The 22,281-nt window shown below is 37.0% G+C and overlaps 1 long non-coding RNA gene across 1 annotated transcript in view, besides 1 other annotated feature; it reads left to right on the forward strand.

The window, feature by feature from the left end:
- Positions 1-22,281, forward strand: part of DISC1FP1 (DISC1 fusion partner 1) — a 663,821-nt gene that overhangs the window by 429,572 nt on the left and 211,968 nt on the right. The gene's annotated exons all lie outside the window — the stretch shown is intronic.
- Positions 20,309-20,378: an enhancer, noted in NCBI's record as "active region_5387". NCBI's record gives its function as "activates an Ori minimal core promoter by ATAC-STARR-seq in GM12878 lymphoblastoid cells {active_cell/tissue: GM12878}" and the evidence as "EXISTENCE:reporter gene assay evidence [ECO:0000049][PMID:35858748]".

Genomic DNA, 22,281 nt, shown 5'->3' on the forward strand with positions numbered 1-22,281 from the left:
AAGGTTTCTCTGTAGCCTGTGATGCTGTTTGATACTATTTTACCCAGAGTAAAACTTCTTTCAAAATTAGAGTCAATTTTCTCAAACCCTGCTGCTGCATTATCAACCAGGTTTATGCAGTATTCTACGTCCTTTGTTGTCATTTCAACAATGTGGAAGCAGCTCCACATCCTTTCAAGTTTTATCATGAGATTGCAGCAGTTCAGTCACGTTTTTAGGCACCACTTCTAATTCTAGTTCTTTTGCTATTTCCACCACATTTGCAGTTACTTCCTCCATGGAAGTCTTAAACCCCGCAAAATCATTTATGAGGGTTGGAATCAACTTTTTCCAAACTCAAGTTAATGTTGATATTTTGAACTGCTCCCACGAATTACAAATGTTCTTAATAGCATCTAGAATGGTGAATCCTTTCCAGAAGGTTTTCAATTCACTTTGCTCACATCCATTGCAAGCATCACTATCTATGGCAGCTATATCCATACAAAATGTATGTCTTAAATAATAAGACTTGAAAGTCAAGATCACTCCTTGATCCATGGGCTGCAGAATGAATGTTGTGTTAGAGGGACAAAAATAACATTAATCTCCTTGTACGTCTCCTAGCTCTTGGGTAACCGAGTGCCTTGTCAATGAAAGAAATCCTATTTTTTTTTTTTTTTTTAGCAATATGTCTAAATGGTGGGTTTAAAATATTCGGTAAACCATATTGTAAACAGATGTGCTGCCATCCAAGCTTTATTGTTCCATATATAGAACATCCAGTCAGTGGAATAAACATAAAACACACAACATTGATTAATTAAGTTCATCATTTTATATGGGTGCAGTTCATGGCACCCAAAACCAATTATAATAGTAATATGAAAGATCACAGATTATCATAACAGAAGTAGTAATAATAATAACATTCGAAATATTGTGAGAAATACCAAAATGTGACATAGAGACATGAAGTAGGCACTGGCTGTTGTGAAAATGGTGCCAACACATTTGCTTGACACAGTCACCAAAGATCTTCAAATTGTAAAAAATGAAGTATCTGTAGAGCACAATAAAATGAGGAATGCTTATATAAGTTGAAATAATATATGGAGTAGGAAAGTTTACACTGAGGGCTAATAATAAATTGTTAAGTGCCTTATCAAACCATAAAAATAGATATTTTATTGCACATAACATAGTTCATGTCGAAGTAATTTATGTTAGTAGCTCTTTTCTTGTTTTTTTTTCTTTTCCTTCTTTTTGCTATATTATACTAATGGTGGGTGATACATGAAAAAAGCTGTAACAACAAACATGCTGTATAATAAAAAATACAATTATGAGTTGCTGGTGTATGCTGGTGAAGCTGATACTATGATCATAAACAAATGTAATTAGTAATTTATTTCTAAGGGTAATAATATGATTGATATATAGATAAGACTTTGGTTTAATACAATGGAAATTATTTAAGAGGTTGATCATCTAGGCTCTGCAGTGAGACTGCTTGTGATATAATATTGGCCTCATATTTTGCATACACTAACTTAGTGTCCTAGTAGTAACTATTCAACTCTTGTGTGTTTCATTTTCTATCTCTGTTAAGTGCAAATTAAAAGGTATGTATTGTATAGTTGTATATACATATCTGTGTACATATACACAGACATATATGCAGCATATATGCAAGTGTATATACAGCCGTGTGCCACATAACAATGTTTCCATCAATGACAAAACACATATTTCACAGTGGCCCCATAAGATTATGACACCATATTTTTACTGTACTTTTTCTATGTTTAGATATACACAATTGCTTACCATCTTGTTACAATTGCCTGTGCTATTTAGTACAGTAAGGTGCTGTACAGGTTTGTAGCGTAAGAGCAATAGTCTACACCGTATAGCCTAGGGGAGTAGCAGGCTATGCCACTAAGGTTTGTATAAGAATACCCTATGATGTTCACACAGTGACAAAACAGCCTAACGACACAGTTTTCAGAATATATTCAGTTGTTAAGTGAGGTGTGACTGTATAAATACTCTTAGTTGGAGTCCCAGGGAAGCACATATAACACACTCAAATTAGAATAATTGAAGATGAGATTATTATCAAGGAAATTAACAACACAAGTGGAGGTAGGGTTCAGAGATACTGGAGGGGAGCACAGGATTCTGAACAAATAATAACAGAGCTGTTATCACACTAACCCCAAAGGGACAAGAAAAGGAAGGGGTCTCTGGAACCTGAAAAGACAGTTATGTTAGGCCACCTAGAGAGGAGTAGTGGGTTTCTTTCAAAGGATAGTCAGTCTAAAGACTTTTAAATAGTTTTGGAAAGAAAGCTGATGGCTACTGAGTATACCGAATTATGTTCCAGAAAAGTAAGTTGTTTACGTCAGTGGTTTTCGATCTTTGCATCTCTGGGGCTGTTATATGGTCTTAAAAAAAGTGAGAATGCCAGAGAATATATCCAGTTATATCTCTTGATGTTTACCATCTTGGAATTTACAGCAGACAATTTTAAAACTTTCATTGATTTATTTTAAAATCATAATAAATAACTCTGGGAACCACACACTTTTTCTGTGAATGGCTGGATAATAAGTACTTTAGGTTTTTTGAGCCATTTTTTTTGTAATTATTCAGTTCTGCTGCTGTAGAACAAAAATAACCATGGACGATATATAAAACATTGAGTATAACTGTGTTAAAAAAAATCATTATTTACAAAAATAGGCATGAAGCTAGATCAGGCCTTCAGGCTGGATTTGGTCTTTGATAACTCCAGATAAAACTGTTTACATAAACCTATTAACCTGTTAATGTAAATAATATATTTTGATAATAATTAGTTTCCAATAGAGTATGGTGAGAAAAGAGACACCATTTCTCATTTTTATTAATCTCTAATGTCTGGTTTTATAAGAAAGCTGAATTCTTTTATCTAATTTGGCATTAAATTTATCACAATGTTGATTTGATTGACATGTGTAGGAATATCTGGCCCCATCCAAGTATACAGTTTGAAATATGAGGTTATTTTACTAACTTTTTGAGATATTTATGTTCTTTTTTAATGCTATACCAAAATTCAACTAGCAGTTGATTTCAAAGGATAATTGCAATGTGTAATCTGAGACCATATCAATATACATTTAATATTTTTTATTAAAAAACATTTGTTTTTCTCACATGAAGGTGATTCTGTAACATGCATAGATCATGTAAATAATACTGTTTGGTGTAGTGATGCAGAGCTTCCAAATATTAACACAGTTTATTATACAATATTTTATAATTAATATTACTGTTTATCTGCCAAGAAAAGTCTTTATATTCAAAAGGTGTCAAGCTCCTGGTAGCAAGTACAGCTTTTCCAACATTCTGACTTTTGCTTGAAAACATTAATTTTATGTAGCAAATATTGTTTCATAAAATTAAAACTTTATAGTACAAAATGCAAAACTTTTTAGTAACAAATATTGTTAACTGCTTTTCTTGAGGTAATGGTCTTACTTTGTTCATTTTCAAGACAATATCTATCAAAATCCTAAGTTTAAATAACTATAGTTTTTCTGTCTGTTCTTTCAAGTAAAAATTTTGTTCCCTGAATAAAGCAGCTAGTTTAGCTTGCACAGAATAGACTTGCCAATTGCTTCTCCTTAAGATAGTCCTCAAACTTTGGTATACAACAGAAGTATTTCATGTGTACTTACCATTTCATCATACAGAATATTAAACGAAAATTATGTAAGTAAGAGTAGAGATTTAAAAGTTGAGTAATTTTTATTACTTCATCAAAAACATGGTAGTGAAAACAATAACTATTAGTATGGTTGGGTGCCGTTTCCTTGACTTGTACTAAGGTACCCATATTTTTACTCACCATTGTTTTTGCATCATCAGTACAAACGTTAACACAATAAAAAAAACAAATAATATTTTAGTACTATTCTAAAATACTTTGGATCTCACATGCCCTTTGAAAGGTTTGGATATCTCCGAGTGTCCACTTGGAAAAACATTACACTTTATGAATGAGAAACAGTGAGGGTCCAGAAAAGATAAAAATAATAGTTTGGTGTCAAAATGTCAAATAACTTTATAGGACAACCATGAAAAGAATATGCCTTTACTAACTTAAAATTAAAAGTCTCTCCTGAATGCTCTGCTACTTCATTTGTATACTAATATCTTACACAAATTGTCTTATTTACCTTGAAAATTATGAAGCCCTACTTATTTTCAAGGTACTAACACTTACACTCACCACTGTATTGGATTCTGAAACATGAGTTTACCACAATGGAAAGCAGATAGATGTACTATGGCTTTATCAAGCATAGCCACTGAAGGACAAAGCAGTAAAACAATTCAGTTAATACAGAAAACCAGGCGATTAGTTTGATGTAAATGGCCAAGATTATATTTTTATTTTCTGTTTGTTTCCTTATAATATAGACATTGTTCTTTCAACTACAAAATGTAATAATGATTTTACATTATGTACTTCTTTTACTTTTCAAAATTATTTTAGAATTATTGACAAATATTTAATAACTAAAGAAAAATATTTTCAATACGTGATTAAGTTCAAACATAGAAGTTATTATGTCAATTAAAGCAAGTCTTATTTCCGGCTTAAAATTAGGCAGGAATTAATATAAAAGTAAATATTCCCCCAAGATTTCTATTTAACTAACGGCATTATTTTTGCATTATAACTACTCGTATTGCCAAGACACAGAGTTGAGTGCCAATGATTAATTATATCTACACTTACAAAAAATCCTAATCTCTTAATATTTTTTATAACTCTAAATAGAAATATAAAATTATTAATATTTTCATGAGTCACCGCATGCACATTTCAATATTTATTTTAAATACTGGTTTTTTCATTTTTTATTTTATTATTATTATACTTTAAGTTTTAGGGTACATGTGCACAATGTGCAGGTTTGTTACATATGTATACATGTGCCATGCTGGTGTGCTGCACCCATTAACTCGTAATTTAGCATTAGGTATATCGCCTAATGCTATCCCTCCCCCCAACCCACAACAGTCCCCAGAGTGTGATATTCCCCTTCCTGTGTCCATGTGTTCTCATTGTTCAATTCCCACCTATGAGTGAGAACATGCAGTGTTTGGTTTTTTGTCCTTGCAATAGTTTACTGAGAATGATGATTTCCAATTTCATCCATGTCCCTACAAAGGACATGAACTCATCATTTTTTATGGCTGCATAGTATTCCATGGTGTATATGTGCCACATTTTCTTAATCCAGTCGATCATCGTTGGACATTTGGGTTGGGTCCAAGTCTTTGCTATTGTGAATAGTGCCGCAATAAACATATGTGTAAATGTGTCTTTATAGCAGCATGATTTATAGTCCTTTGGGTATATACCCAGTAATGGGATGGCTGGGTCAAATGGTATTTCTAGTTCTAGATCCCTGAGGAATCGCGACACTGACTTCCACAATGATTGAACTAGTTTACAGTCCCACCAACAGTGCAAAAGTGTTCCTATTTCTCCACATCCTCTCCAGCACCTGTTGTTTCCTGACTTTTTAATGATTGCCATTCTAACTGGTGTGAGATGGTATCTCATTGTGGTTTTGATTTGCATTTCTCTGATGGCCAGTGATGATGAGCATTTTTTCATGTGTTTTTTCACTGCATAAATGTCTTCTTTTGAGAAGTGTCTGTTCATGTCCTTCGCCCACTTTTTGATGGGGTTGTTTGTTTTTTTCTTGTAAATTTGTTTGAGTTCATTGTAGCTTCTGGATATTAGCCCTTTGTCAGATGAGTAGGTTGCAAAAATTTTCTCCCATTTGGTAGGTTGCCTGTTCACTGTGATGGTAGTTTCTTTTGCTGTGCAGAAGCTCTTTAGTTTAATTAGATCCCATTTGTCAATTTTGTCTTTTGTTGCCATTGCTTTTGGTGTTTTAGACATGAAGTCCTTGCCCATGCCTATTTCCTGAATGGTAATGCCTAGGTTTTCTTCTAGGGTTTTGATGGTTTTAGGTCTAATGTTTAAGTCTTTAATCTACCTTGAATTGATTTTTGTATAAGGTGTAAGGAAGGGATCCAGTTTCAGCTTTCTACATATGGCTAGCCAGTATTCCCAGCACCATTTATTAAATAAGGAATCCTTTCCCCACTGCTTGTTTTTCTCAGGTTTGTCAAAGATCAGATAGTTGTAGATATGCAGTGTTATTTCTGAGGGCTCTGTTCTGTTCCATTGATCTATATCTCTGTTTTTGTACCAGTACCATGCTGTTTTGGTTACTGTTGCCTTGTAGTATAGTTTGAAGTCAGGTAGCGTGATGCCTCCAGCTTTGTTCTTTTGGCTTAGGATTGACTTGGTGATGCGGGCTCTTTTTTGGTTCCATATGAACTTTAAAGTAGTTTTTTCCAATTCTGTGAAGAAAGTCATTGGTAGCTTGATGGGGATGGCATTGAATCTATAAATTACCTTGGGCAGTATGACCATTTTCACGATATTGATTCTTCCTACCCATGAGCATGGAATGTTCTTCCATTTGTTTGTATCCTCTTTTATTTCATTGAGCAGTGGTTTGTAGTTCTCCTTCTAGAGGTCCTTAACGTCCCTTGTGAGCTGGATTCCTAGGTATTTTATTCTCTTTGAAGCAATTGTGAATGGGAGTTCACTCATGATTCGGCTCTCTGTTTGTCTGTTATTGGTGTATAAGAACGCTTGTGATTTTTGTACATTGATTTTGTATCCTGAGACTTTGCTGAAGTTGCTTATCAGGTTAAGGAGATTTGGGGCTGACACGATGGGGTTTTCTAGATAAACAATTATGTCATCTGCAAATAGGGACAATTTTACTTCCTCTTTTCCTAACTGAATACCCTTTATTTCCTTCTCCTGCCTAATTGCCCTGGCCAGAACATCTAACACTATGTTGAATAGGAGTGGTGAGAGAGGGCATCCCTGTCTTGTGCCAGTTTTCAAAGGGAATGCTTCCAGTTTTTGCCCATTCAGTATGATATTGGCTATGGGTTTGTCATAGATAGCTCTTATTATTTTGAGATACGTCCCATCAATACCTAATTAATTGAGGGTTTTTAGCATGAAGGGTTGTTGAATTTTGTCAAAGGCCTTTTCTGCATCTATTGAGATAATCATGTGGTTTTTGTCTTTGGTTCTGTTTATATGCTGGATTACTTTTATTGATTTGCATATATTGAACCAGCCTTGCATCCCAGGAATGAAGCCCACTTGATCATGGTGGATAAGCTTTTTGATGTGTTGCTGGATTCAGTTTGCCAGTATTTTATTGAGGATTTTTGCATCAATGATCATCAAGGATATTGGTCTAAAATTCTCTTTTTTGGTTGTGTCTCTGCCTGGCTTTGGTATCAGGATGATGCTGGCCTCATAAAATGAGTTAGGGAGGATTCCCTCTTTTTCTATTGATTGGAATAATTTCAGAAGGAATGGTACCAGTTCCTCCTTGTACCTCTGGTAGAATTCGGCTGTGAATCCATCTGGTCCTGGGCTCTTTTTGGTTGGTAAGCTATTGATTATTGCCACAATTTCAGAGCCTGTTATTGGTCTATTCAGAGATTCAACTTCTTCCTGGTTTAGTCTTGGGAGGGTGTATGTGTCCAGGAATTTATCCATTTCTTCTAGATTTTATAGTTTATTTGCGTAGAGTTGTTTGTAGTATTCTCTGATGGTAGTTTGTATTTCTGTGGGATCGGTGGTGATATCCTCTTTATCATTTTTTATTGCATCTATTTGAGTCTTCTCTCTTTTCTTCTTTATTAGTCTTGCTAATGGTCTATCAATTTTGTTGATCCTTTCAAAAAACCAGCTCCTGGACTCATTAATTTTTTGAAGGGTTTTTTGTGTCTCTATTTCCTTCAGTTCTGATCTGATTATAGTTATTTCTTGCCTTCTGCTAGCTTTTGTCTTCTGCTTGCTTTTCTAGTTCTTTTAATTGTGATGTTAGGGTGTCAATTTTGGATATTTCCTGCTTTCTCTTGTGGGCAGTTAGTGCTATAAATTTCCCTCTACACACTTCTTTGAATGTGTCCCAGAGATTCTGGTATGTTGTGTCTTTGTTCTCGTTGGTTTCAAAGAACATCTTTATTTCTGCCTTCATTTCGTTATGTACCCAGTAGTCATTCAGGAGCAGGTTGTTCAGTTTCCATGTAGTTGAGAGGTTTTGAGTGAGTTTCTTCGTCCTGAGTTCTAGTTTGATTGCACTGTGGTCTGAGAGACAGTTTGTTATAATTTCTGTTCTTTTACATTTGCTGAGGAGTGCTTTACTTCCAACTATGTGGTCAATTTTGGAATAGGTGTGGTGTGGTGCTGAAAAAAATGTATATTCTGTTGATTTGGGGTGGAGAGTTCTGTAGATGTCTATTAGGTCCGCTTGGTGCAGAGCTGAGTTCAATTCCTGGGTATCCTTGTTAACTTTCTGTCTCGTTGATCTGTCTAATGTTGACAGTGGGGTGTTAAAGTCTTCCATTATTATTGTGTGGGAGTCTAAGTCTCTTTGTAGGTCACTCAGGACTTGCTTTATGAATTTGGGTGCTCCTGTATTGGATGCATGTACATTTAGGATAGTTAGCTCTTCTTGTTGAATTGATCCCTTTACCATTATGTAGTGGCCTTTTTGTCTCTTTTGATCTTTGTTGGTTTAAAGTCTGTTTTATCAGAGACTAGGATTGAAACTCCTGCCTTTTTTTGTTTTCCATTTGCTTGGTAGATCTTCCTCCATCCTTTTATATTGAGCCTATGTGTGTCTCTGCATGTGAGATGGGTTTCCTGAATACAGCACAGTAATGGGTCTTGACTCTTTATCCAATTTGCCAGTCTGTGTCTTTTAATTGGAGCATTTAGTCCATTTACTGTTAAAGTTAATACTGTTGTGTGTGAATTTGATCCCATCATTATGATGTTAGCTGGTTATTTTGCTCGTTCGTTGATGCAGTTTCTTCCTAGCCTCGATGTTCTTTACAATGTGGCATGATTTTGCAGTGGCTGGTACCGGTTGTTCCTTTCCATGTTTAGCGCTTCCTTCAGGAGCTCTTTTAGGGCAGGCCTGGTGGTGACAAAATATCTCAGCATTTGCTTGTCTGTAAAGTATTTTATTTCTCCTTCACTTATGAATCTTAGTTTGGCTGGATATGAAATTCTGGATTGAAAATTCTTTTCTTTAAGAATATTGAATATTGGCCCCCACTTTCTCCTGGCTTGTAGAGTTTCTGCTGAGAGATCCGCTGTTAGTCTGATGGGCTTTCCTTTGTGGGTAACCCGACCTTTCCTCTGGCTGCCCTTAACATTTTTTCCTTCATTTCAACTTTGGTGAATCTGACAATTATGTGTCTTGGAGTTGCTCTTCTCGAGGAGTATCTTTGTGGCGTTCTCTGTATTTCCTGAATCTGAATGTTGGCCTGCCTTGCTAGATTGGGGAAGTTCTCCTGGATAATATTCTGCAGAGTGTTTTCCAACTTGGTTCCATTCTCCCCGTCACATTCAGGTACACCAGTGAGACATAGATTTGGTCTTTTCACATAGTCCCATATTTCTTGGAGGCTTTGTTCATTTCTTTTTATTCTTTTTTATGTAAGCTTCCCTTCTCGCTTCATTTCATTCATTTCATCTTCCATCACTGATACCCTTTCTTCCAGTTGATCGCATCGGCTCCTGAGGCTTCTGCTTTCTTCACGTAGTTCTCGAGCCTTGGCTTTCAGCTCCATCAGCTCTTTTAAGCACTTCTCTGTATTGGTTATTCTAGTTATACATTCGTCTAAATTTTTTTCAAAGTTTTTAACTTCTTTTCCTTTGGTTTGAATTTCCTCCTGTAGCTCAGAGTAGTTTGATCGTCTGAAGACTTCTCTCAACTCGTCAAAGTCATTCTCCGTCCAGCTTTGTTCCATTGATGGTGAGGAACTGCGTTCCTTTGGAGGAGGAGAGGCACTCTGCTTTTTAGAGTTTCCAGTTTTTCTGCTCTGTTTTTTCCCCATCTTTGTGGTTTTATCTACTTTTGGTCTTTGATGATGGTGATGTATAGATGGGTTTTTGGTGTGGATGTCTTTTCTGTTTGTTAGTTTTCCTACTAACAGACAGGACCGTCAGCTGCAGGTCTGTTGGAATTTGCTAGAGGTCCACTCCAGACCCTGTTTGCCTGGGTATCAGCAGCGGTGGCTGCAGAACAGTGGATTTTCATGTACCACAAATGCTGCTGTCTGATCGTTCCTCTGGAATTTTTGTCTCAGAGGAGTACCTGGCCATGTGAGGAGTCAAGTCTGCCCCTGCTGTGGGATGCCTCCCAGTTAGGCTGCTCGGGGGTCAGGGATCAGGGACCCACTTGAGGAGGCAGAGTGCCCATTCTCAGATCTCCAGCTGCGTGCTGGGAGAACCACTGCTCTCTTCAAAGCTGTCAGACAGGGACATTTAAGTCTGCAGAGGTTACTGCTGTCTTTTTGTTTGTCTGTGCCCTGCCCCCAGAGGTGGAGCCTACAGAGGCAGGCAGGCCTCCTTGAGCTGTGGTGGGCTCCACCCAGTTCGAGCTTCCCGGCTGCTTTGTTTACCTAAGCAAGCCTGGGCAATGGTGGGCGCCCCTCCCCCAGCCTCACTGCCACCTTGCAGTTTGATCTCAGACTGCTGTGCTAGCAATCAGCAAGATTCTGTGGGTGTAGGACCCTCTGAGCCATGTGCGGGATATAATCTCCTGGTTTGCTGTTTTTTAAGCCCGTCAGAAAAGCGGAGTATTACGGTGGGAGTGACCCGATTTTCCAGGTGCCGTCTGTCACCCCTTTCTTTGACTAGGAAAGGGAACTCTCTGACCCCTTGCACTTCCCGAGTGAGGCAATGCCTCGCCCTGCTTTGGCTCGCTCATGGTGTGCTGCACCCACTGTCCTGCGCCCACTGTCTGGCACTCCCTAGTGAGATGAACCCGGTACCTCAGATGGAAATGCAGAAATCACCCGTCTTCTGGGTCGCTCACACTGGGAGCTGTAGACTGGAGCTGTTCCTATTCGGCCATCCTGATTTTTAAACTAAGATTATTTATCAAATTTTTGACTGAAGTACCAGTCCAGTGTTAGTGGAGTTGGTTAGATCCTATTTGTAATCTTGAGGTAATTGGACTATTATAATCTTGTTGATCCCTCAATCTGAATTTTTTTAGTAATCTGCCTACCACATACATGACCTTCATGAAAGTTTCTGTCCATGCACAGTATAAATTCCTCTTATTCCCTCTAACATTAAATATAGCCTTACCTTCCTCAGTTACTGGACTCAGTTCTTGAATTGGTCTCTTGCAGGCTCCATCATGCAAAATTATGGTTTAGAAAAGGAAATAAAAACAGTGAAATGTGGGTTAAGATCATAACATACACTGCTATGGAAGCAGTCAAATTCTTGCTAAGGTAATTTTATTGGTGCAAAAAAATCTCTGGGTCAGTCCTTCTCAAGTCACTGCCCAGCAGTATGCCCTGGAGAGCTTACACTCAGTAGCCAGGAACAGGAGGAGCCAGAATGCAATTAGAAGCTAGGTGTGAACTTAGTAGCCTTGTAGTCACAAGTCAAGGGAGCAAAATTCTGTTCCTAAGTACAGTTGCTAACTTTTGGTCCAAATCAATAATTTTATGAACAGTGGTCAAATAATAGTTAAAGCCATTGATCTCAAATATAATAGGTACATAATGGTCATAATCAAAGGTTTAAAAGCCAGTTAGATTCTGATTGTGATGGTTAGTTATTTGGGTCAGCTTTACTGGGCCATGGGGTCCCCAAATATTTTCTCATATCTTATTCTGGGTATGTCTGTCAGGGTGTTTTGGATGAGGTTAATATTTAAATTGGTAGACTAAAGCGGATTACCCTCCTTTTTGAAGGCCTAAATCAAACAAAAAGGCTAAATAAGAGAGAATTGCACTGATTTAATGGTTGAGCTGGGTTTTTGATTTTCACCTGTCCTTAGACTGGAACTTTTGCCATCAGCTACTGATATGGTTTGGCTGTGACACCACCCAAATGTCATCTTGAATTGTAGTTCCCATAATACACACATGTCAAGGGAGGCATCCAGTGGGAGATAATTGAATCATTGGGGGTGGTTACCTCCATGCTGTTCTTGTGATAGTGAGTTAGTTCTCACAAGATCTGATGGTTTTATAAGGGTTTTTTTCCCCCTTTTACTGGGCACTTCTTCCTGCCACCATGTGAAGAAGGATGCGTTTATTTCCATTTCTGCCATTATTATAAGTTTCCTGAGGCCTCCCCAACCATGCAGAACTGTGAGTCAATTAAACCTCTTTCCTTTATAACTTACCCAGTCTCAGGTATTTCTTCACAGAAACATAAAATGGACTAATACAGTAAATTGGTACTATAGAGAGTGAAGTGTTGCCCTAAGGATACCCAGAAATGTGGAAGTGACTTTGGAGCTGGGTAACAGGCAGAGATTGGAACAGTTTGGAGGGCTCAGAAGAAGATAGAAAGATGTGGGAAAGTTTGTAATTTCCTAGAGTCTTGTTAAATGGCTTTGACCAAAATGCTGATAATTATATAAGTAATGAAATCCAGGCTGAAGTGGTCTCAGATAAAGATGAGGAACTTTTTGGGAAGTGGAATAAGATAGTTCTTGCTATGCTTTAGCAAAGAGACTGGCAGCATTTTGCCCCTTCCCTAGAGATCTGTGGAATTTTGAACTTGAGAGAGACAATTTAGGGTATCTGGCAGAAGAAATTTCTAAGCAGCAAAGTGTTCAAGGAGAAACAGAGCTTAAAGCCTGGAAAATTTGCAGGCTGATGATGCGATAGAAAAGAAAAATCCATATTCTGGGGAGAAAGTCAAGCCCAGTGCAGAAATTTGTATAAGTAAAAACGAGCCCAATGTTAATCACCAAAGCAATGGGGAAAATGTCTACAGGGCATGTCAGAGACTTTTGCGGCAGCCCCTCCCATGACAGGCCTGATGGTCTATCAGGAAAAAATGGCATCATCGGCCAGGCCAAGGGCCCTTCTGCTGTGTGCAGCTTTGGGACTTGGTGCTCTGTGTCCCAGCTGCTCCAGCTGTGGCTAAAAGCAGCCAAGGTAAAACTCAGGCCATAGCTTTAGAGGGTGCAAGCCTTGAGCCTTGGCAGCTTCCACATGGTGTTGAGCCTGTGGGTACACAGAATTCAGGAATTGAGGTTTGGGAACCTCTGATTAGATTTCAGAGGATGTATGGAAGTGCCTGGATGTCCAGGCAGAAGTTTGCTGCAGAGGCAGAGCTCTCACGCAGAACCTCTGTTAGGGCAGTGCAGAAGGGAAATGAGGAGTTGGCATACCCACACAGAGTCCCCACTGGGGCACTGCCTAATGGAGCTGTGAGAAGAGGGCCACCATCCTCCAGACCCCCGAATGGTAGATCCACTGATAGTTTGGACCATGCACCTGGAAAAGCCAAAGACACTTATGAAAGCAGCCAAGAGGGCACTGTACCTTGCAAAGTCACAGGGGTGGATCTGCCCAAGGCCATGGGAGCCCACCTCTTGCATCAGAGTAACCTGGTTGTGAGAAATGAAGTCAAAGGACACTATTTCAAAGCTTTAAAATTTATTTACTGCCTCGGTGGATTTCAGATGTGCATGAGGCTGTAGCCTCTTTGTTTTGGCCAATTTCTCCCTTTGGGAGTGAGTGTATTTACCCAAAGCCTATACCCCCAATGTATCTAGGAAATAACTAACTTGCTTTTGATTTTACAGGCTCATAGGCAGAAGGGACATGCCTCATCTCCAATGAGACTTTGTACTTGGACTTTTGGGTTAATGCTGGAATGAATTAAGACCTTGAGAGATTGTTGGGAAGGCAGTATTGTGTTTAAAAATGTAAAGGCATAAGGTTTTGGAGGGACTGGCGTGAAATGATATGGTTGGCTGTGTCCCCGCCCAAATCTCATCATGAATTGTAATTCCCTTAATCCCCACTTGTGGTAGGAGGGACTTGGTGAGAGGTAACTGAATCATGGGGACAGTTACCCCCGTGCTGTTCTCATGATCCTGAGTTCTCAGCAGATCTGATGGTTTTATAAGGGGCTTTTTCTCCCATTTGCTTGGCACTTCTCCTTCCTGCCACCATGTGAAGAAGGATGTGTTTGCTTCACCTTCCACCATGATTGTAAGTTTTCTGAGGCCTTCCCAGTCATAAGGAACTGTGAGTCAATTAAACCCCTTTCCTTTATAAATTCCCCAGTCTTGGATATTTCTTCATAGTAGTATGAGAATGGACTAATATACCTCTCCTGATTCTTAAACAATTGGACTTGAATGAGAAATTATACCCTCAGTTCTCTTGGGTGATCAGCTTGGCAGCTTCAGATCTTGGAGTCCCAGCCTCCATAGTCATGGGAGCCAATTCTTTAAAAGAAGAATCTCTGTGTCTTTCTCTCTCTCTCTCCATATATATATATATAGTGTGTGTGTTTTTATCCATATCTATTGGTTCTATTTCTCTGTAGAATATTGACTAAATATACTAATACTGCATAATGAACAAGAGTAAACATTGAACAAGGGGAGCAGAATGGGCTAAGAGCTGTTTTTATTGTGCCTTCAGGCTTTTATGTATTTCTATTTTTTAGAAACAGAAATAGAAATCATAGTATTAGAGGTTATTAATAAGAATTGAGTTAGATTATAAACAGAAAACTACAATAAATAATTTAGTAAAATTTAACATATATATGTTTATTATATGTATGTGTGCATATTATATACACACATACATATAATAAAAATATATTAACTATTATATATGTTTGCATGTATGTCTAATGTGGATACACACACACACACACACACACACAGTAACTTCCTATTTCTGTATCCCTCATGCCATTCCCTAAGTGTAGTGCATTTGTGAAGTAAATTTGTATGTAGTGGCTGAATGTCAGGTAGAGTGCTCTGATATATCTCAAGATTGTAATTTAATTTGAGTTTAATAATGGGGCACATTACTTTTATTTATGTTGCCAGCACAATTAATAGTGATTTCCTTGTCTTTCTTTGAATATACATTCTTGAAACCCTTGGGAACTCTGTGCGGTCATTAGGCCACAGTTAGAGGCAATCCAAAATTTATTTACATAGGTCAAGAATAAATTATTACTGGTTTCCAAAATAAGCATCATATTGTAATGACTAAAATTTTCTGCTGCTGAGACTGGAGCATAATTATATCATATCACAGCAATATTCTGATGACCTGGGGTTCTCTACAATATAAACAGAAGTGTTAGTTGCAATCTCTGCAATGCATTTAAGGAATTTATTCAGTAGTAGAAGCTAATGTAGAATCAAGTATTGGAATAAGGAGACCCCCTATAAATTTAAACTCTTCAAATCATTTATAAATTGGCCTGCGCTTAAGGCCAATTTAGTGAAACCATTATTTTACTTCCTGAAATCTTTAGCTATTATATTTTCTTATGAAAAGGTTTAGTGTTTTGAAAAGTAAATTGGTCCATATTTCACAGTAAGACTGCATCACTATTACTTTAACATTTGTTTTTCTAAATATAAAAGTAATATTCCACCACAAATATTCCAAAATAAGGAAAAGGCATAAAAAACTACCCATACATCCAGCATTTAAATATGTATTAATACAATCTGAGTGTTTTCTGCCAATTTTTTTCTAAGACAATTTCTCTACAGTTGTAACAGAGTATATTATGATACATGTATACGTTTCATTGATTGTGATATCCTAAGCACATGTTATACTGCTGCATAGGTTTGCTAGCCATAAGTTTAAATAGCTACATAATAGTTCACTGGATAAATTCAGCATAATTTTTAACTTTTAATTTTCAAGTGGAGATTTGCCTCTTTGAAAAAGTTGATGTGGGAAAATGAGAACAGGAGAATAGAAGTTATAAAATAGGTTAAATATTAGTTTATCTGAATTTTTAAATATAAGAGGTATGAACATATATAAGACATATATAAATAACCAGCATTGGTCAGGGAGAAATAAAAATTTCTCTTTGGCAGAGAGATATGTAAATGGCCAACATTGGTCAAAGAGAAGTGATTTTTTGTTGTTGTTGTTAAAAAGATAGCCATAAGGATTGGCGAGAACAGCCAATTCTTGTATTTATATCCAATTTGATTCAGAATAAAGTGAAAAAGTATAATCATCTAACATGTCTATGTGACAAACATAGAGTACCAACTAAATTTAAAATAAGATATTGAACTGCCACTGACTATATCTTCCACATGGAAGTAACAGAGAATTAGAGAAATCTTGCCCTTAAGGTCAGATATGCTATATATACATGTACACATGCATATACCTACACTAGACAAATGGAAAACCAAAATTTAAGTTAAAAATTGGGTAACTTGTGTATTATGTATCACCAAAATTATAATAGTGATTTTCAGAAGAAAAAAATTTTTCAATGTGTATATGGGGTTTGGGCAAATGTAAGGAATTATAAGTAAAGGCTTTGTTTTTTCTACATATTTGAGGCTTTGCAGAATTTGAACTTGTGGAAATAGAACATGGAAGAAAGGTAACTTCAGACAGAAAAAAATAAAGTCAGAAAACAAAAATTCACAGGAAATATCAGCAGAATAGTAAATTCACAGAGGTTTTAGAGAAAAGCATGGTTGTATTAATGAGTATGAAAAACACTGATGCTTATCAGAACCTCTTTGAGAAAAGACAAATGAATGAACAAGTGAATGAATAAGTGAATGAGAATATGAAAATATTCCTTAGGGGAGAACAGAATGAGATTGTTTAGGAATTCTGTGGAAACAAGTTAAGAGTTGAGGTGTAATCCAACCCATATTGTTACTGAATCCTTGACTTCCACATCAGACTCAAAAATATTTAGCAGTAGGAACAATGGTCTGTTTTTTAATGTTATATCTCTCGTTTAGTAGTGTCTGGCACATAGTAAATATTTAGTAAGTACTTGTTGAATTGGAATGATACTTAATAAATGATTTATGAAAATGACTTGATACCCATCAGATTAGAAGTAAGAAGAAACACCAGTAAAACTATAATAAAGGAATACACTCTAGGAAAAAAAATTAATTAAGATACAGCAGTACCATGTGATAAGTTTAGAAAAAGACAGGTGGAACATAGTGTTAAGTCTTGCAAAAAAAGACCCCAGTTAATAACCTTGTATTTACCTAGAAGATTGTCTTTACTTATTAATAGGCTATAGATTTTAAGAATGGTAATGAATAGAAGAATGAATGGAGTCAATAAAAATTAGCAGTAAGCAAGTAAGCATTTCATAAAATAAAATATTGTATACATAATGTGAACACAATGTTATGGAATTTCTGGTTGGAAGTAGAATGCTGGGTGATAGTGCTGCTGGATTATGGACAATGGAAGGGCTGCTTTTAAATTGGAGGTTATAATGCTGATGAGAGGGTGTATCATAATGTTTAAAGATTGTTTTGATGGTGAGACACAACACAATTACACTTAGATAGATGAAAGGCAGAACTCTTTTGTCAGTTACAGCAACAAGGGAAAGAAAGCTACCAGGGAAGGCCACACAGGAGGCTCTACCTGAGGACAGGATAATAGCATGCTGGAACAGTAGGAGGTAGCTATGTATGACAAGTGGGGTAGGAGTTAGCTAGGTTTTTCAGGCACCCTGTGGACTGACTAATTTGAATAATTCCTCTGGCTTTTGGGCATAACAGCTTTCTCTGGTTGTCTGGTGGGTAGCCCCAAGAAGATTAGGTCTGGCACATAGTAGCCTGGATTGTAAGAGGGAAGTGATTGGGGTGTTGTCTTAATCAACTACTCAGAAAGAGTACTGACCAGCTACTAAGAGGGCCTCAACACTGGGTCAACATAATGACAACAAACATTATTACACAGGGGCTGCCCATGAATCACAGGTTATACTGAGATGAGCTGAATAGAATTATCTCATGTCTTGTGGATTAGAGAGGGAAGGTCTGTGGAATAGTTTTCAGTAATATATAAAAGGAGATTTTTGTGAGCTATAGTTTATGAATGATAGAGCCAAGTTATGCTCTTGACCTGAGGCTAGAAAAGGAGATGGCTAAAGATTTCTGAGAATAATCACTCTTTCAGGGCATTTGTTTAAAGGTGAAGGAATGTCAGTCTTTAGTTAAATCTTCTTCACACTGGAAATAACCAAAATGTCAAGGAGATATGTCACCAAGGAATGGCCAGACATGGCTTTATGATGACTACTGCTCTGAGAACAATAGGGTATCCAGCCCAGCTTAAACAGTTTGAGAAGCATTTAGGACACTTTTCAAGGTCTCTGCTCTTGAGGAGTTTACAACTTGGTGTCATATTGTCATAAAACTCTTCATGGCAATTGTCATGGTGGAAGATTTTCTCCAAGCTCTATAAAATCTACTTTATAGTTCCCTGCAGCTTCTACATGTAATATTAATTATTAGCCTATAATTTTCTTTTCCTTTCCTAACAACTATTCTTAGTTAAAGCAATTTTAATGGTATTGTTTCTCTGACAAGTATTATGGGTATTTTATGGAAGTTAATATTGGTTTCCCAAATATTACCTAAAACTATTCAGAAATAAATAAAAGAACACCTTCTTGCTGAAATTCTATAGCTCTTCTTAATGATAGAGAAGCATTGCTTCTTCATATGTATTTCCAGGAAAGCACCTACTTACTTGTCCTGATGGTGCTGCTATGGAATGGTAACTTCAAAAATTACAAATTTAGCCTGAAGACATGGTGACTTTGAAGACACATAGGACTCGAGTTCAGCAAGAGAAAAACCCAATGCCATATTAACTATTCAAATGGATTGGATGTTTCCTTTTAATGGCTTTTAAATGAAGATTTGCCCTCTGTTCCTTTCCATGATTTATTTGTGTTAAGGAAATATAACATCGCATTACGAAAACTAAACTACATGGCCTTGTGCCTGAAGAATACATATATAATTCATGAAATGGGTCAATAGTTTTGTAGGAAAACAAATGGCTACTTTATTTAGGGTGGACAATTAAATTGCATTGGTGGAAGAAAATTATAACTGAGTACTTATCTTTATTCATGAATGATAGGGCAGCTCTTTCCTGAACTTACTGGAGAGGGACACATATGGCTTAAACCACCAGTACAGAGATGTGCCAGGCAGCTTGAGAGACATCTGAGCTTGGAGGCAAAACTAAGAATTTGTCAGTTTGCATGAATATAGCATCTTTCCTGGTATTTATACCACCCACTGTCTGTCATAATGAATCAAGCTCAGATTAGAGTCTGTTAACTTTCAGATATAAATATTATAGTTTAGTTTTTTTTTTCTTTTTCAAAGAAAAACAAGAGGAAAGGGAGAAATTGCTTTTATAGATTGTTGCTAGGGAAACCATTCAGCTGGGCTTTTTACTTTATGGCCTGTCTGCCTTATTCTGTATGTACTCCACAAAGAGTCACCGTGTGGTTTGCTCTCAAGTTCAAATTGGGAATTATGCTATGGGTTTTAAAATAGTTTTTAGAAAATGAATATATTATCTGATTTCATTTACAGCATCGCAGTACTTATTCATTGTTGAGCTAGTTATTTATAAGAATCTACTGGCCCGGATTCTTAAAAAGGTGAGAAAACTTGTAAACCTTTGAGGCTTTCTTCCTTAACAGGTTTGTTAAATTTCATCAATTCAGAGCTTAGCTTTTGCTCAAAAAAAAGACCTGTTTTTCTTTTCCGTAAGCCTCGACAAACATCATTCTCCATGTATTCTTTAATTTAGCCTAAATCAGTACTACATCCAGCACCTTAGAAAATTGCAGGCTTGTCACTCAACAAATATGGTAATGATAATACAAACTATTCATACAGAACTTTTCAAAATTTTATCATATGCATGATCTGCTGTAAAGGTCACAAAAGTATTGTTACTCTCATCTCAAAGATAAAACTGAGTAAATTGACTCATTAAAAACTATAGAGTGAATAAGTAACATAGCCACTACTTAATTTATTATTTTCATTTCCATACAGTGAAAAATATTTGAAGAATCATCAGGAAATGCATGCATCCTGTGATTAAATATGTGTTTATTTTGTATTTAAGTGGGCCACCTGAGATACTTGCCACAGATAATTCAAACAGAAGGGCCCCAGCTGTGCACACTATGTAACACTTTTTTATATCTTCTGACATTGAAAAGTGAGACTTACGGGAATACTTAGCCTCGTAAATGAGAGAGTGGGTATTTTTTATTTAATGGGACTTTTCCTCCATGTGAACAGTGAGTAAGAAGCATTGAGAAGCAGGTTTCCCTAAGCTAAGAAAGATTTCCCAAGTCATATCTCTTTTTGAAAGGACAGAAAATACCCTTATAAAAATAGTTGTGTTACAGTACTCACTTCTGGAACCCAGAGCAGGGCAAGACCCCTGCAGTGATGTTAAGTGACTCATTTCTGGATGGTGATTTCAGAATCAACTTGTCCTGAAACAAGCATTATACACGTTATGCTAGGAGGTAACTTTATCAGCAACAAAAAATCCTAAGAGAAATATCATGATATTTCTTTTTGCAACAGCAAAAAGGCAGGGCTTATGACAAATATGAGAAGAGATATTAAATACATGCAGAAGCGTTAACATATAACCAAATAGGAAAGAGAGTCCGGGTGTGACTACATTAACAAAAGGCACTGACAGCTGAGATAAGAGTGTTTGTGAAGAACTACTCCATCCCATCATGGCCACTCTGCTGGGGAACAAAATTGGCCGGGATGGGAAAATCTCAAATACCAGCAATTACACAGATAAGGACTAACTCAACATTTGTGGATTTTGTTGTTATTGTAGAACTCTCATTTTTTCTTTTTTTCTCAAATTGTTCGCTGGAGTAGTGCCTGTTATCTTTCTTATTGCAGTTAAACTAGCAGTCCATTATTCCACCTCTAAATTATTTGGTGGGTGAATGTGGAAAGACACCAAAATGTTTTTTTTTTTTTTCTTAAATACACATTGTGCTATAAATTATATGTATAGCATAAGTTGAGTTCCCTTGGAAACAGACTCCCTGCAGTTGTGGCTAAGGCCGCTATTGTCCTTTCAGGGCAGTTAAACCTTCCCTCTTCCTAATCCTGCTGCCACTGTCTTTTAATGCTGTTGTTCCTAGGAGGATTCTCCCAAAACTTTTTGCCCACAGGGACTTCTAAAACTGTGTATCCTCACAAGGACCAGTCATCAGATGACAGCTACAATCTGAGCGAAGCAGCTTTCTTTAGCTGAGGGAAATTTCTGGACAAAGCTTTGTACACTCAGTAGCCAATAATCATCAGTCTTAAATGGAATAATGGTGGCTGTGATTTTTTTGTTGTTGTTGTTGTTGTTGTATCAACTTGGCTCATTTATGGTCCTCAGTTGCTCATTCAACCAAACACTATTCTGGGTGGCCCTTTGCAGATACTTTTTAGATATGATTAACGTTAATATGTTTAAGTTAAAAGAGATCGTCCTCAATAATGTGAGTAGTCCTGACTCAGCCAGTTGAAAGGCGTTAGAAGCACAGCAGAGGCTTCCATAAAGAAGAAACTTTATCTGAAGATAGCACCTTAAGCCATGCTTTTAAGAATTCCCATCTACTCTTCCTGACAACCTGCCTTACAGATTTGTGCTTTCCTAGGTAGCCCCACAATCATATAAGCCAATTTCTTGCAACACATTTCTCCAGATGTGTCTCCTACTTGTTCTACTCTTCAAGTTGAACCCCTTCTGATACAGTGACAAACCACAACATCCATTCATAATACCAGTGCTGGCTTCTTATTGTAATTAGAGCCAATTTTCTGTGCTAGCATGGTAACTCCTGTCATTTCTATCCCTGTAAGTATCTTTGCTACAAGGAGTCTTGAGTGACTATATGGGTTCCACAGATTACAGATTAATGGGACTCTTCGTCTGTCCCAGATGGAAGTATTCCATTCCATTCACTGAGCCTAGAATTATGGAGGAGTAAGCATAGATTTCCCAAGTGGATGCCTCAGAGTGATGGTAATGAGACTATTCCTATTATTGTCTGAACATAGAATCTACATAATGGGGACACAGCACCAAACAGTAATTGTTGATTTAAGATATATGATGCATCCTGAGAGATGGCTGTAATCATTCAGGTACCATTTCCATGTACAATTGAAGTACCTGTAAAACTTTGCTTATTGGATGTTATAACATCCAATTTGTAGATAGAACAAATAAATAATCTTGTCATTTGCCCACCATTGCACCTTTTTTGCTAAT

Source organism: Homo sapiens, chromosome 11, assembly GCF_000001405.40.
Source record: "Homo sapiens chromosome 11, GRCh38.p14 Primary Assembly".
NCBI lineage: Eukaryota > Metazoa > Chordata > Mammalia > Primates > Hominidae > Homo > Homo sapiens.